The 14,013-nt window shown below is 40.4% G+C and overlaps 1 long non-coding RNA gene across 4 annotated transcripts in view; it reads left to right on the plus strand.

Annotated features, from left to right (window-relative positions):
• The window catches only part of LOC105378797 (uncharacterized), a 396,491-nt gene that overhangs the window by 247,909 nt on the left and 134,569 nt on the right, over window positions 1-14,013 (plus strand). For 3 of the 4 annotated variants that reach the window (XR_001737670.2, XR_947505.3, XR_001737671.3), the window contains one exon: window positions 2,922-2,969. The exons of the other annotated variant lie outside the window; for it this stretch is intronic. This is a non-coding gene — a long non-coding RNA (uncharacterized LOC105378797). The remainder of the gene's footprint in view (window positions 1-2,921; window positions 2,970-14,013) is intronic. 4 annotated transcript variants of the gene reach the window in all.

The raw sequence follows: 14,013 nt of genomic DNA on the forward strand, positions 1-14,013 counted from the left end.
TTAGTCACTGAAGAGCTCTAATGGAAATACACAAGAAGAGGAATGTTGCTTTCATGGTTGCTAACACAACATCCTTCTCCATGGATGAAGGAGTACTTTCAACTTTGAAGTCATATTATTTAAAAAATATATTTGTAATGCTATACCTGCCATAGATAATGATTCTTCTAATGTATCTGGCCAAAGTAAAATAAAAACTTTCTGGAAACAATTCCCGATTTTAGATGCCATTAAGAACACTTGTGATTCATGGGAGAAGGTTAAAATATCAACATGCATTAGGTATATCTCCCAGTGCTATCCCTCCCCCCTCCCCCCACCCCACAACAGTCCCCAGAGTGTGATGTTCCCCTTCCTGTGTCCATGTGTTCTCATTGTTCAATTCCCACCTATGAGTGAGAATATGCAGTGTTTGGGTTTTTGTTCTTGCGATCGTTTACTGAGAATGATGATTTCCAATTTCATCCATGTCCCTACAAAGGACATGAACTCATCATTTTTTGTGGCTGCATAGTATTCCATGGTGTATATGTGCCACATTTTCTTAATCCAGTCTATCATTGTTGGACATTTGGGTTGGTTTCAAGTCTTTGCTGTTGTGAATAGTGCCGCAATAAACATACGTGTGCATGTGTCTTTATAGCAGCATGATTTATAGTCCTTTGGGTATATACCCAGTAATGGGATGGCTGGGTCAAATGGTATTTCTAGTTCTAGATCCCTGAGGAATCGCCATACTGACTTCCACAACGGTTGAACTAGTTTACAGTCCCACCAACAGTGTAAAAGTGCTAGATGACGAGTTAGTGGGTGCAGCGCACCAGCATTTTCACATGTATACATATGTAACTAACCTGCACATTGTGCACATGTACCCTAAAACTTAAAGTATAATAATAAAAATAAAATAAAATAAAATATCAACATGAACAGGAATTTGGAAAAAAGTCATTTCAAACCACATGGATGACTTTGAGAGTTTCAAGATTGCAATAGAGGAAGTCACTGCATGTGTTAGTCCATTCTCATGCTGCTAATAAAGACATACCCTAGACTGGGTAATTTATAGAGGAAAGAAGTTTAATTGACTCACAGTTGAGCATGGCTGGGGAGGCCTCAGGAAACTTACAATCATGGTGGAAGGCAAAAGGGAAGTAAGGCACCTCCTTCATAAGGCGCCAGGAAGGGGAAGTGCAGAGCAAAAGGGGAGAAATGCTGAGTAAAGGGGGAAAGGCCCCTTATAAAAGCATCAGATCTTGTGAAGACTCACTATTATGAGTGCGATATCATGAGAACAGCATGTGGTAACTGTCCCCATGATTGAATTGCCTCCCCTTGGCTCCCTCCCATCACATGTGGGGATTATGGGAACTACAATTCAAGATGAGATTTGGGTGTGGACACAGCCAAACCTTATCACTGCAGATATGGTAGAAATAGCAAGATAACTAGAATTAGAAGTGGAGACTGAAGATGTGACTGAATTTCTATGATCTAGTGATAAAACTTGAAGGGATGAGTAGTTGCTTTTTATGGATGCACAAAGAAAGCAGTGATGGAATCTACTGCTGGTGAAGATGCTGTGAAAAGTGTTGAAATGACAACAAAGAATGTAGAAATTTATTACAAAAGCTTAAATGACAAACAGAGTCAGGGTTTGAGAGTATTAACTCCAATTTTGAAGGAAGTTCTACTGTGGATAATATGGTATCAAATACCATTTCATGCTACAGAGAAATCTTTTATGAAAGGCAGAGTCAATAGATGCAGCAAACTTCATTGCTGCCTTATTTTAAGAAGTTTACATCACTTCACCCTTCAGTAACCACCATGAGTTAGCAGCCATCAACATGAAGGCAAGATCCTCCACCAGCAAAATATTAAGATTTGTTGAATGCTTAGATGAAGGTTAGCTTTTTTTTTTTTAGCAATAAAGTGTTAAGGCATGAACAATATTTTTTAACAACAATGCTATTGCACGCTTAATAGACTACAGTGTAGTGTAAACATAACTTTCATTTGCACTGGGAAACCAAAAAATTGGGAGACTTGCTTTATTGTGGTGGTCTTGAAACAAACTCCTATCTCTAAGGTATGCCTATATGAGTTTAGCATCCCTAATGCAAAAATCTGAGACCTGAAGAGCTCCAAAATCTGAGAGTTTTTGAGAGCTGACATGACACCACAGCTGGAAAATTCTACCCTTGATCCATGTGACAGATTGTAAATTGCAGTCAAAATTTGCTTTATGCACAAAATTATGAAATATAAAAATTACCTTCAGGCTATATGTGTAAGAAGGATATGAAAAATATAAATTTTGTGTTTAGACTTATCCCCAAGATATTTTAAAATATAAATGCAAATATCCCCAAATCCAAAAATATTTTAAATCCGAAATACTTCTGATTTCAGGCATTTTAGATAAGCAATACTCATCCTGTATATGTTATATATTTTTTCACATACTCCCATCACCTTTAGATTCAGCTGTCCCTTGGGAAATACATTAAATATTGATGCATACGGATACATATCAAACTACAGTTTTAATTGCCTGTTTTGATTGACTGCCCCAATTATGAAAGTAAGATAAGCCACTACACCTGCCAAAGCCAGCTGTTGGTCACTACGAAAGGCAAAGATGAAAACAGGATAAGGAAATAGGAGGGAAATGGAAAAGGTGGAGAATTGGAGAAATATCTAGTGCAACTTATCAGGTGTAATTTTGGGATTGCAGTATCTGTTAATCTTTTTGTGTGAAAGGAGAGGGTAGGATATTGAGAGAGATGAGGAGAGATGGAGAAATATAAAAGAGGAGAGAAACTTAAAACACATTGTAAGGCATTGAGGTTTTAGATTTTAGGGCATTTTATTCATGCTATTTCCCACAATTCATTACACATTTTCCTTCCCGACAGGTGTTCAATAGCTCACTGTGATTGTTGAGAAGTCAACACAGGGACAAGGTATGTAGCTGTGGGAACCTCTGTCAAATCAATGAAATAATTACCATCATGCAGTTAAAAATCCTGCTGATTCTAAATAGATATTTTGAGAAGGATTAAGCCCATATGGTCATGTTACAAAAATTGCATATTTTTTCCTTTGCTCAAAATTACCCTAATTTAAAAAGTTAATAAGAGATATTTTTATTAAAAAAGAATTGTAACTTATATAGACAATTTGGTAGAAAGTTGCCTGTCAAAAATATCACTTCAAAATAGGGTTGACTTTAAAAAGTTACTTCTAGTTTCAGTTTTTATTTAATTTTATTCATAATGGGCACATAACTATACATATTTATAGGGTACAATATGATGTTTCAATGCATGTATACATTGTATAATGATCAAATTGGGGTTATTACTATGTCCATCACTTTAAATATTCATCATTTATTTGTGAAAATAACATTCAAATCCATTTCTTCTAGTTGCCTTGAAATACACACTATATTACTATTTACTATGGTCACCTTATCGTGTAATAGAACACCAAAACGGATTTGCCTTGTGTAACTGTACTTTCATACCTTTTGACCAATTTCTCCTGGCCTCCCCCTTTCTCTTCCCCTGCCCAGCCTCTAGCAATGACTATTCTACTCTCTGCTTCTATGATATCAACTTTTATGATTCCACATATGAGTGAGATCATGCAGTATATTGTCTTTCTGTGCCTGGCTTATTTCACTTAATATAATGCCCTACACTTTCATCTACATTGCCACAAATGACAGGACTTCATTCTTTTTTATGGCTGAATAGTACTCATTGCATATATGTACCATATGTTCTTTGTTTATTCATCATTAGATGGGCATTGAGGTTGATTCCTTAGTTTGGCTACTTTGAATACTGCTGCAATAACCATGGATGTGGACATGTCTCTTTAACATACTCATTTTATTTTCCTTGGATATATACGAAGTAATGAGATTTCTAGGTTATGTGGTAGTTCTATTTTCAATTTTTTGAGGAATTATCGTACTGTTTTCCAAAATTGCTGCACTAATTTATATTCCTACCAGCAGTGTATAAGAATTTCCTTTTCTCCATATCCTCACCAGCATTTGTTATTTTTTGTCTTTTTGATAACAACCATTCTAACTGGAGAGGGGTGATATATTGTTTTGGTTTTCATGTGAATTTCTATGATGATTTTTGATATCGAGTATTTTTTCATGTATCTGTCGACCATTTGTGTGTCTTCTTTTAAGAAGTGAGTTGTTTGAATTCCTTATATATTCTGAATGTTAACCACTTGTCAGATGCATAGTTTGCAAATTCTTTCTCCTATTTTTTGTGTCTTCACTTACTGTTTTCTTTGCTTTGCAGAAGCTTTTTAATGTAATGTACTCCTATTTGTATATTTTTGTTTCTGTTGCTTGTGCTCTTAAGGTGCTATTCAAGAAATCCTTGCCCAATCCAATTTCATGAGCCATTTCCCTATGTTTTCTCCTAGTTGTTTCATAGTTTTGGGTCTTACATGTAATTCTTTCATTCATTTAGTATTGATTTTTGTATATGATGAGACATGGGACTTTAGTCTGATTCTTCTGCATGTGGATATCCAGTTTTCCCAACACCATTTATTGCACACTGTTCTTTCTCCCATGTGTGTTCTTGGCATTTTTGTCAAAAATCAGTTGGTTGTAAATGCATGGACTCATTTCTGCATTCTCTCTTCTGTTCCATTGGTCTATGTGTTTGTTTTGATGCCAGTACTATGCTGTTTTGGTTACTATGGCTCTGTAGTATATTTTGAAGTCAGGTGGTATTATACTTCCAACTATGTTCTTTTTTCTCAAGATTATCCCTATTTGCAGATGACGTAATCATATACAGAGAAAACTCTAAAGAATTCACCAAAAACTCCATTAGAACTAATAAATTTGGTAAAGCTGCAGGATACAAAATCAACATACAAAAATCAATAGCATTTGTATACATCGATAGTGAACTACCTGAAAAAGAATCAAGAAAATAATTCCATTTATAATAACTACAAAAAATAATAAAATACCCTGGGATAAACTTAGCCAAGGAGGTGCAAGATCTCTATGACAAATCCTATAAAACATTGATGGAAAAAGTTGAAGAGGATACAGATAAATGAAAAGATAGCCCATGTCATGCACTGGAAGAGCTAATATTGTTAAAATGTCCAAATTACCCAAAGTGACCTACAGATTCAATGCAATTCCTATTAAAATACCAGTGACATTCTTCACTGAAATAGAATTTTTAAAATCTTGAAATTTATAGGAAAAGGCAAAAGACTCCAGATAGTTAAGGGGATGATTTTTATAAATGTAATCACTACTCAATTTGTAGCATTGTATGTAACTGCACATCACCATTTGAAAATAGATTATCCCAGGAAAATCATTGATAATAAAGAATAATTAGCTTAGTATTAACTTTATCCAGGTATATCCAGCCCAAATGTTGTCTTATATCTGCCTTTTATTTGTTCATGGGTTATGAATTGTTGATTTCTTTACATTTTTGTTTCCCCTTTTACACTCTAAGTTCTGAAACAGAATGAAGCTTGATCTGCTTAAACCAGTGTTTTCCAAAATGTGGTCTTTACATAGCAGCATAACATCACCTGAGTACTTGTTAGAAATGCAAACTATTGGGCCTTATTCCAGCCCTACTGAAAAAGAAACTCTTGGGGGTGGAATTAAAAAATGTTTATTTAAAATCCTCCACATGATTATTATGCTCATTAAAGTTTGGGAGTCACCGGCTCAAACAGTGATTGCTTCTTCTTTTAATATTCTCTCTCTTTCTGCATGTTTCTGAAAACTAACCTTGAGAATTCTCTAGAGGCCAAAGTGACTCTCACCATTAAGGTGACCCAGGTGACTGCCTTAGGCAACCTAGAGTTGTGGCATAATTCACAGACTGTAAGTTCTAGTAGCTTTCCTGAATACTAACATCTCTGTTTCAGGCTCACAGATATGGCTTGTTGTGCCAGATCCCTACTGACTTCAATAGGGATAGTACTTTGTCCAAGAGGCTGGAGAAGAGACCTGGAGCCTAGGAACAAGACATAGAGTGGATTGAGGGAACTTACATGAGGGTGGTCCATTGGCAGAGGGCTGGAAGGAGAACTGCAACTGCTTATAAAAGGCATGAAGTATATATAGCATTTTCACTCAGTGCCCTCCACCTAGCAACCTTTATTTTATCGAAATCAAAGTTCCTCCATCCCCTGTATGGCCTGAGCTCCACAGGATGGGCCCGAGTTCATTCCTCATGGATAAGAAATGAATCTGGATTGTCCACTCCCAGATTCCTTAGCTCAGAATTCTGAACACATATTCTTTTTAGACCATAGAGTCATTGTTGAGGGATGCTTAAGTTATTGCTGTCAGGTGTGTCTGTCACACAGGGTCATTCTCAGGTTATGCTTAAGTTATTGCTGTCAGGTGCATCTGCCAAACAGTCCCCCGCTAACATACCCTTGACTGGGCCTCACACTGTCATCACAACATTCTTCCATGATTTCCCCTGGAGTCAGGTATGTACAGGAGCATTGTTTCTAGATGCCACAGCAATAATACAAACTACAACAACAAAAACAAATAATACACTTAATAACAATCATACTGCATGCAAAGTTTCTCTAAGAGCTTTGGAGTTGAGTAAACCACATGGTTATAGGATTGTAAGACAGAGATTCTATAACAGAAATATGGGTACCTAAGGCCTGCGTGGCCTGGGTTATGTTGTGAAAGTAATCAGGGATATATACACAACTTTCAGTTTTAATTAATGCACAGGTTTCACTCTGGGCAGCACTTAAGGTGTCCAAAGCCATACAATTTTGCAAACAAGGGTGCACAACTCACTACCTGTGTCTGCAGTGCCATCATTTACCCTAGCTCATCATATACAGCCTACCACACAGTGGGGATAACATTAATTTTCTCCCAATCTATGTGGAAAATATGTGGTCTCATCTCCTTAATGGTGGGGAATTCACTGCATGAGGTGCTGTTGTTGCTAAAGAGAAACAAGTGAGGGTCATTATACCACATATGGAAGAGGCTTCAGATACTCAGGTTAGCTGCTTGGATGTGCCATGGCAGGCCCATAGTGGAAGAGAGAGGCAGCTCCTCACAGACCCAACGGGCTGTTTTATTCTGGAGAGAGACCACCATCTGCACCCAGTTGACGAAGAGGTTTGCTGCACACCATTTATGGACATTCTGAGAGAGCACCACCCCTGGTAGTGTCCTGGTGTCTGATTTATAATACCAAATAGATTACCTCCCCTCCCCAGCCATGATGCATTACAAAAGGCCAGAGTAAGACAATGGGGTAGTTAAAAAGTTCCATTATAAGATGATTGTCTCTTTGCACAAGGGAGGACAAGAATTCATTATTTTAAAAGTACAAGGGAGAGTAGGGTGTAAAATAGGTGTGACCTTTACATGGTTTTCTAGGCCCTTCCTCCCATGGAGCAGAAAAGCTGAACTATCGCGGGCCGATTTGCCATTTCCAGGGCCACATACTATTTTGCTCCCCAGTGGGTAGGTCCTGTGGCAAGGGCAATAGCAGGTTACCGAAAGTACCAGCTTAGGGTAAAGGTGTACTGTCCCTTATACTTTCTACCTGGATCCTTATGGTGGTATCAGACCCTTGCATTAGAAGAGTATATGTGCTGGGTTGATAAGAGAACTTGTTTATTCAGGGTGTGGATGGCTGCTGGTAAGCAGCATGTCTGCAGAGCCAGAGAGTGTGTCTCCTGCCAGAGCTGTTGCTTCAACAGTCCATTCATCTGTTCAATTAGCCCCGCTGATGTAGGGTTGTATGGCAGGTGGAAATGCCAGTGGATATCCAGGACCTCTGCCTATTCCTGTACTGGTCACTGTTGATATCAGTGTGGACACTGCAGGCTGTGCACAGCAGCTCTAGTCCTTTTGTGGATTTCTGGGCAGCATGCTTGCCGGAATATGCCTGCAGTTGCCCCGTGCATGCGTCTGCACAAGTCAAATCATAGTGGCAGCCATCAGATAGAGGCAATTGTCATGTGTTGCCTACCTGCCAACATTTCACTGGGCCCCGGCCCCTGGCATTCTGTCCAGTATCATGCTGCAAGGGCCTGGGGAGTTCCTGCACACAGGCAGGACATTGCTAACAGATGTGCACTATGTCTTTATATCATAGTGGCAGGCCCTGATTATTTGCTATAGCCTAAAGGGTACATTGTCCCTGATGTCCTGTCTTTATATGCAGCCAGTGAGCTACATCTTCTATGGCAGCTTCCACAAGGAGATGAACACAGGCTACTTCATCTGCCTGTTGATTTCCAGGTGGTGTAGATGCAGTGTGGGTATCCATAAGGCACACCATTGTATGCATCCCCTGAATGCATGTCCTTCCATATGTCAGTGCCTCAAAGTGGGTGGCCCGCTGTTGTCCAATCCTTTGCTTCCCGTTGTAGTAGCCACATCATGAGTCCTTTAAAGATGGCCCAACTATCAATACATAGGACTATTGGGTCTGGCTCATAGAAGAAGACCATCCAGGCCACTTCCAGCTCAGCCCATTGGCTACTATGTCCTTTACCTGTATCAAGCCAGATCCTATCAGTGGACAGGTAGGTGACCATGGCTGTCCAAGAGCAAGGACTGCTTCATGATGAGCCATCTGCATACCAGGCCTGGTCAGGAACTGGGCCCTGTTTACCCCCACCCCACCTGCTGTACAAAGGAGGAAATCTGTCGATGTTCAGTGGTTTTAATCAAAGACTGCCCTTCAGTTAGTTGTCACACAGGGGACAGGACCAAGTACCAAAACAAGCTCTGTGCTCAAGAGGCTATTAGTTAACATGCTCCTGTCTTGCAGGTATGCATGCCATTTGGCCACAGTCTGTGTCTGTTTCCCAGACTTTGGTTTCTGAAAGGTATCCTTTAGCCAACCTGCTATGGGGTACCAGGTGCACCAGGGCCCCCTTTGTAATGTCCTCCACTTGAAAGGTATACTGGGTAGCACAGAATTGTTGTTTTATGACACTATATCTAACTTCAGCTCCTCCCATAATTGGGATCAGAATCCTAGAGGCACACTTTGATGTCCTTGCCTCTTCCATAGGCCCTACCCAAGCCCCTCAGGGTAACTGGCCAGTTAACAAGGCTGTCACTGCCGTAGAACTCCCAAGACTTGTATTTATTTCACTGTGTCTTTATCTTGTTAAAAGGCTTCATTCTCTTTTGTAGACCAATCCCTGTGGGCCCTAGTATTAGTCAGGGTTCTCTAGAGGGACAGAACTAGTGGGATATATGTATATATGAAAGGGAGTTTATTAAGGACAATTGACTCACATGATCATAAGGTAAAGTCTGATGATAGGCTGTCTGCAAGTTAAGGAACAAAGAAGCCATTGGTGGATCATTCCAGGTCCCCAAACCTCAAAAGTAGGGAAGCTAACAGTGCAGCCTTCAGTCTGTGGCCAAAGGCCCAAGAGCCCCTGGTAAACCACTGGTATTCCAAGAGTGCAAAAGCTGAGGAACTTGGAGTCTGATGTTTCAGGGCAGGAAGCATCCAGCAAGGGAGAAAGGTGAAGGCCAGAAGACTCAGCAAGTCTGCTTTATTCTATCCATGTTGGCAGTTGATTACATGGTGCCCACCCACATTGAGGGTGGGTCTGGCTCTCCCAGTCCACTGACTCAAATGTTAATCTCCTTTGGCAACACCCTCACAGACACACCCAGGAACAATATTTTGCATCCTCCAATCCAATCAAGTTGACACTGTATTAACCATCATAGCCCTCTTCTTGACTAAGTTGTATGAGGTCCTAAGGAGTTGGGCCAGATGGAAATAAAAGGTTGACAATGCTCTATAAGGGCTAAGAAGGTCTACAACTACTTCAGTATGGTAGGACATGAATAGGCCTGCATCTTATCTATAAACACAGACTGAGTGACTAGTCTTACCCGAAAAGATGACACCCGAGCATTTAACTGATAAACCTGGACTCTGGACTTTGCATTGACTGCCCATACTCTTTTGCCAAGTGACACAGAAAACTGGGGGTTGCAGTTTGTAAGCTGGAAAAAGACTCAGAAGTTAGCATGATGTCATCAATGTAATGGAAAACCTGTGCCCACTTCAGGGCAGTCCAACCACTGAGGTCTGCAGCTACTGGGCCATTGCAGATGGCGGGGCTATGCAAATATCCCCAGGGCAAGATGATAATGGTTCGTTTTTCTCCTTCCCAGGTGAATGCAAATTAGTCTTGACTCTTTAGGGCATTAAGGATGCTGAAGAAGGCTTTAGCTAAATTGATAACAAAATGGTGTGTGCCAAGCACTGCTTCTACCCTCATCAGAAGGGAGGTGATATTGCTAACAGCTGCATACATTGGTGTACCACTTTATTTAATTCCCACTAACCTACTGTCATTCTCCATGTCCCATCAGGCTTCCACACTGACTTTACAGGGCTGTTGTATGGGCTGTGCATTGACCTTATAATGCCTACCTAACTCCTTAAAAGTTCCTGTGATTTCATCATGCCCACACCCCACTGCTACTCCCTGAAGGGCTGGCAACTGCACCGTTGGTGTCCGTTTTGAGTTCCCCTCATCACTTCACCACTTGCTTCACCACCCTAACTCTTAGAGAGTTTCTCAGTAGTTGTTTGGAGGGTCAAGCCTGATAAGATATCCTTTCCCAAGATGCATTCTGGGATGGGAGCAATGTATACTACATTGAGTTTTGGTGGCAGTCTCCCAACTAGTACTACTGGTTCAACCCATCTGACTTCCATGGCCCCCTTTCTAAAACCATCTATTGCTGTTATAGGCCTTCGGAACAGATGAATATTATCATATATGAGAGTGCATTAGGCTGCAGTGTCTACTAGGGCATGCACAGTTTGTTTATTCTTAGGTAACTAATATACAGTTAGTTCTACATGTGGCCTCTGGTCCCTGGACACCCTGACCACCATTGCTCTTAAGGAGATTCCCAGGTCTTAGCCTACATCCTAGTCTAAAGGGGTTGGCATCTGCCATCCCTCTGAAGAAGGGGCAGTGTGTAGTGAACCTGAGGCTCCTTAGTGAAGCACTGTTCTGGCTTGAGCTTCTGCCACAATCCAACTAGAAAAGCATTAGGTTGTTTATTTATTTCCACCCTAGGTGTCCCTGCCACTACCAGGTTGCACGATATTTGTCAGCAGGTGACACTAATGGGCCTTTTGGCCATATCCTTTCCTTTGGCTCCCTTGTCTTTCATTCCAGCAGTACACATCTCTTGCTTATGCAGCTTCTCTGTTTCCCCTAAGTTGGAAGCCGCTTGGGCCACCTGAGACATTGGCTGTCTTATCAAGGGGCTCAGGATACACACTACTGTGATACACCACTGGCTGAGGGCTTACCGTAAGACAGCATCTTTCGTCGTCATTCATCTTTCATTATTACTGTAATACAGCATCAGACATGGGAATGTCTTCCTCTTTTGGCCAGGCTGCATTGTAGCCTGCAATCATCCAGCTAAGGAAGGGGATGGCCCAATCCTAATTATTAACATCATAAGGGTGCTGCCTCAGGGCTGGGTGATTTGTAACATTTTACTCATCTTGAGTCTGGAGGGTATTATACCCTCTGCTCCCATGTCCCACAGATGGAGAAACCACTCTGCAATTGACTATCTCCCCTTCTGCCTGAACCTATTTCCCAGCTCTACCAATTCCACAGCAGTATAGTCCCACATTGTGGAGTGCCGTCATCTTTTAGGTGGGGGTATGCTTTGCAGGGCTACTCCCATCATAGAAGCGACTATGGGATGGGAAGAGAGGATGGGAACCTCTAGGTTTCATCCCTTTCCTCATTCTCGTCCCCACTAGGGCTCTCCATTGGGTCTCAAGACTTAGGATCCCAAGACGATTCAGTCATGATAGCCCTAACCCATTGGCATGGGAGTCAGCAACCCTTCAAAGGGTTACCTAACAAACCAGGGTCTCTATTTTGTCATCCTATGCCCACAGGTGAGACAGTAAAGTCTCCAATGTTTCAACCTGGGCTAATCAGGCATCTCTTTCTAGTCACAGTTCATCCTGTCACTGAGGGACTCTCACCTATGCTGTGAGCTCAGCCTCAGTGGCTGCTCAGTGTGCAGTCAGAAGTGGCCATCCAACCATGGTTGCCACAGCTCGGACATCCAACTTTCACTTAGATCCTACCCCTGCAATGGCTCTTCTGGACCCTTCAGCATTTTCAGGGCATCCTTGAACTCACATGGTAGGCCCCATCCATCAAGGACAGTGGCTATCATGCTCCACCTAAACATGGATGGCCTGCCCAAGATTTCCTCCGTGGATTTCCTCTTCTCTGATCTCATGGATCCCATTGTTTCACCACTTATAGTGTTTTCTCTACCTTTGGCTGGCATGCTAGTTGTTGTGGTGATCCCTGTTGACTTCATTAGGGATGGCACGGTGTCCCAGAAGATGAAGAGACCCAGAGCCAGAAAAAAAAAAAATAATAAAATTGGGTTTATTGATGATCCAGTGGTGGCAGGCTGGACAGAAGAACCACAATTGCTTGTAAAAAGCATGCAGTTTATATAGCATTTTCACATAGCACCCTCCCCCTAGCAACCTCCACCTGACAAGCTTCATTTAATCCAAAAGAAAGGGTATTGATCCCCTGTGTGGCCTGCATTCCACGTAATGGACCAGGGTTCCTTCCTCACAGATAAGGAATAAGTCTCCAGGTTGGCCACTCGCAGATTTCTTAGCTCAGAACTCTGAACACACATTCTTTTTAGACCATAGTGTTATTCTCAGAGTATGCTTAACTTATTGCTATCAGGTGCATTTGCCATACACTTGTGGAAACCAAAGTAATGTAGTAATGTACATTTCTATCTTTTTGAGAATTAGAACTATATGTCTCAGGAGCATTTTATTTGAAGAATTTTGTTTACTTATGTGTGTACTATACAAAATATAAACCAGTTACACTATTACTTCACTAGGACTATGGTTACTGCAACCTGTGCTGTTGTAAATGTAAATCCTTGAATTATATTCAGACTAATCAGTCAATAAACTGATTTCATCAGTCAGAATTTTTCAGTGTTCTGATTGCCTATAGTTAAGGCACGAAGTAGTTTATTTCTAATTGCTATCAGAACTAGCTTACAAAACTAGGGTTAGCAATCAGCATCACTATTAATGAGAAACTCACATTCATTGAAAAACCGAATTGTCCACAGTTGGTAACTAGACTGCAGTGAGGATATACCAATTGACAAACTATCTATGATTATGTCTATAAAACAAGAGATCATTTGAATGAGGTATACAAAAGGCAAAAGTAAATGACTTTTAGATATGCAGCTCATTTCTTCTCAAGCCTTATAGTTAGAACCTCTTTCATTAGAGAAGCATTTAAAGAGGTCTCTTCCCAGGAACACACGTACATTTTGTTTACCCTTATTTGACTACACTAGTGCTAGGCAGCCAGACCATGAGTATAAACTTTGTTTGTAGCTACTTTAAACACATCTTTCTGACATGGCAATAATGTATACCAGAGGTTGATTAAAATACTCTCGAGGCAATTCCAATTATTTAAATTACTGCAATAAAAGGCACTGTTTTGATAGATACAAATTTAATATTTATTCAGAATCACACAATTATTTAAATTTGGTGCATTCCCTGATTTAGAATTACCAAGTATTTATTAATTCCATGTAAAACTTTTTAATGTAATATTCGCCATTCTTAATAAAGTTTACATTTGTGGCATGTATCAAATTTCTGCTGATGAACTCAATTATAAACTGCTGATATGTAAAACAATATGTATTTAGTAAGTGTACTTCAGAATATATTTTTGTTAACAAGGGTAAAATTATTTATTAAATTTCTATTATTTTTCAATCAATTTGGTATAATTCAGAAATTAATTGAATGTGACAATGAACTTAAGAGTGTTGCTCTTCAACACCTACGGTTTTGACACTGCTGCAGAAGGTCACAT

The sequence above is a fragment of the Homo sapiens genome, chromosome 1 (genome assembly GCF_000001405.40).
Source record: "Homo sapiens chromosome 1, GRCh38.p14 Primary Assembly".
Taxonomy (NCBI): Eukaryota; Metazoa; Chordata; class Mammalia; order Primates; family Hominidae; genus Homo; species Homo sapiens.